The 1,517-nt window shown below is 38.2% G+C and overlaps 1 annotated feature.

The window, feature by feature from the left end:
- Nucleotides 203–1,146: an enhancer, noted in NCBI's record as "OCT4-NANOG hESC enhancer chr18:31416777-31417720 (GRCh37/hg19 assembly coordinates)". NCBI's record gives its function as "activates a minimal SCP1, AML or CMV promoter by ChIP-STARR-seq in naive H9 embryonic stem cells {active_cell/tissue: H9 hESC(naive)}" and the evidence as "EXISTENCE:reporter gene assay evidence [ECO:0000049][PMID:30033119]".

Raw genomic sequence — 1,517 nt, forward strand, 5'->3', positions numbered from 1 at the left:
AGAGGATGCACAGCAAAAACTTTCCTCTCTTCCGCTTCACTTTTCGACATCAGAGGGCCAAATACTCTACCCTTGGTAGAGACATGAAGCCCAGTTGTACATTCACATGTTTCTCCATTCATAAATATTCATGACTCCTTCTATAGACGATTGAATATGTATATTTGCCCACCTCATTCAGCATAAATCCCTGTTCTAGTTGGCTGAGCCCCAGTGTATCTGTTTCTGGCTTCTGGCCAGAGGCTACACTTCCCCGACTGTCAGAATGGCTACCCTGGGGGCTGCAACACTTTATGAGAATTAAAGCTCTCCTTTCCAAATGTATGAACCTCATCATTTTTGAGTTGACAAAGAATATTAGAGTTTGTCTCTGAACTACCAAAAGTGAAGCCACTGGCATCCCAAGACTTGATTTTTCTTTTCTTTCCACTCTTAAAACACATTTCTTACCCTGTGGGTATTCCTGACTGGTATTCTGAGCCACATTCAGTTTGCTGATAGTCAACAGGGATAATGTATGCTTTTTTGCTTTCTTTCTCTATTACTAATCCCATTGCCATCCCCACTCAATATCTCCAATAAAACAGCCTTGTTGCCTCAATTTCTGATGCCTCTTTTATTACAACTCTTTATCAACTTACTATGTCTGTCTCAGGTACTTTCCCTTTGAAACTTGGGACACTTTCTTAAGGCTGATCTGAGAAAATAAAAGTAATGCTTTTTGTTATGCAGCCCAAATGTTCCCTCTCCAGCAATTAAGTACTCAGGGCAGAGGCTTTGATGAGTTACCTGCATTTATTTGGAGAAGGCACTCTCCAGGAGGTAAAGCTGGTCTTTGTTCATCATTTGTGTTTGAGAGCTTAAGTCCTGGAGTTATCTATCTATTTCAACAACTTTTATCCCCATTTCTCCCAGGAGGCTTCTAAGAGTCTCCAGCAAACCAGATCAACCTGTTCTGATGAACTTGCACTCTGTACTGATTTCCCTCTTGCACCTTTTAACTAGAATTGGGCTTTGCAGAAGAGAAGCTTGATTTCAAATTATTCCCAGCACAGTGCCAGTAGAGTATAGCTGCTCTTTGCTCCATTCCTTATCCATGTGAGTCTTAATGAGCATGGAAACCTATCAACATATTTGACATGTTAAGAGGTACCTCTTTATATGCATGTATTAAACCGTTAACACCTATATGTCATCCAAGAAGTCTCATATGAAGACAAGATTTTTTTTTAAATTCTGGATTTTCTTGCACATGGAAGATGTCATATTCTAAGACGTGCTTTCTGAAATTGATGTGACCTAATTTAGGAGTATTTTATAAAGCAGAAAATTAAGTAATCTGGACTGAAATAATTGACCAAAGAGGCCAAGTTCAGTTTAGTCCACCTAATAAATAATTTCATTCTTGTTCATTTCCTTAAAATAGTTCATCAGCTTATATTAATAAAAATGATATGAAACAGAGCAATTATAATAAATAAGTAAATTGAGGAAGAGAGAGAAAGAAGAAGCAGGTG

Source organism: Homo sapiens, chromosome 18, assembly GCF_000001405.40.
Source record: "Homo sapiens chromosome 18, GRCh38.p14 Primary Assembly".
In the NCBI taxonomy this organism is placed as follows: Eukaryota; Metazoa; Chordata; class Mammalia; order Primates; family Hominidae; genus Homo; species Homo sapiens.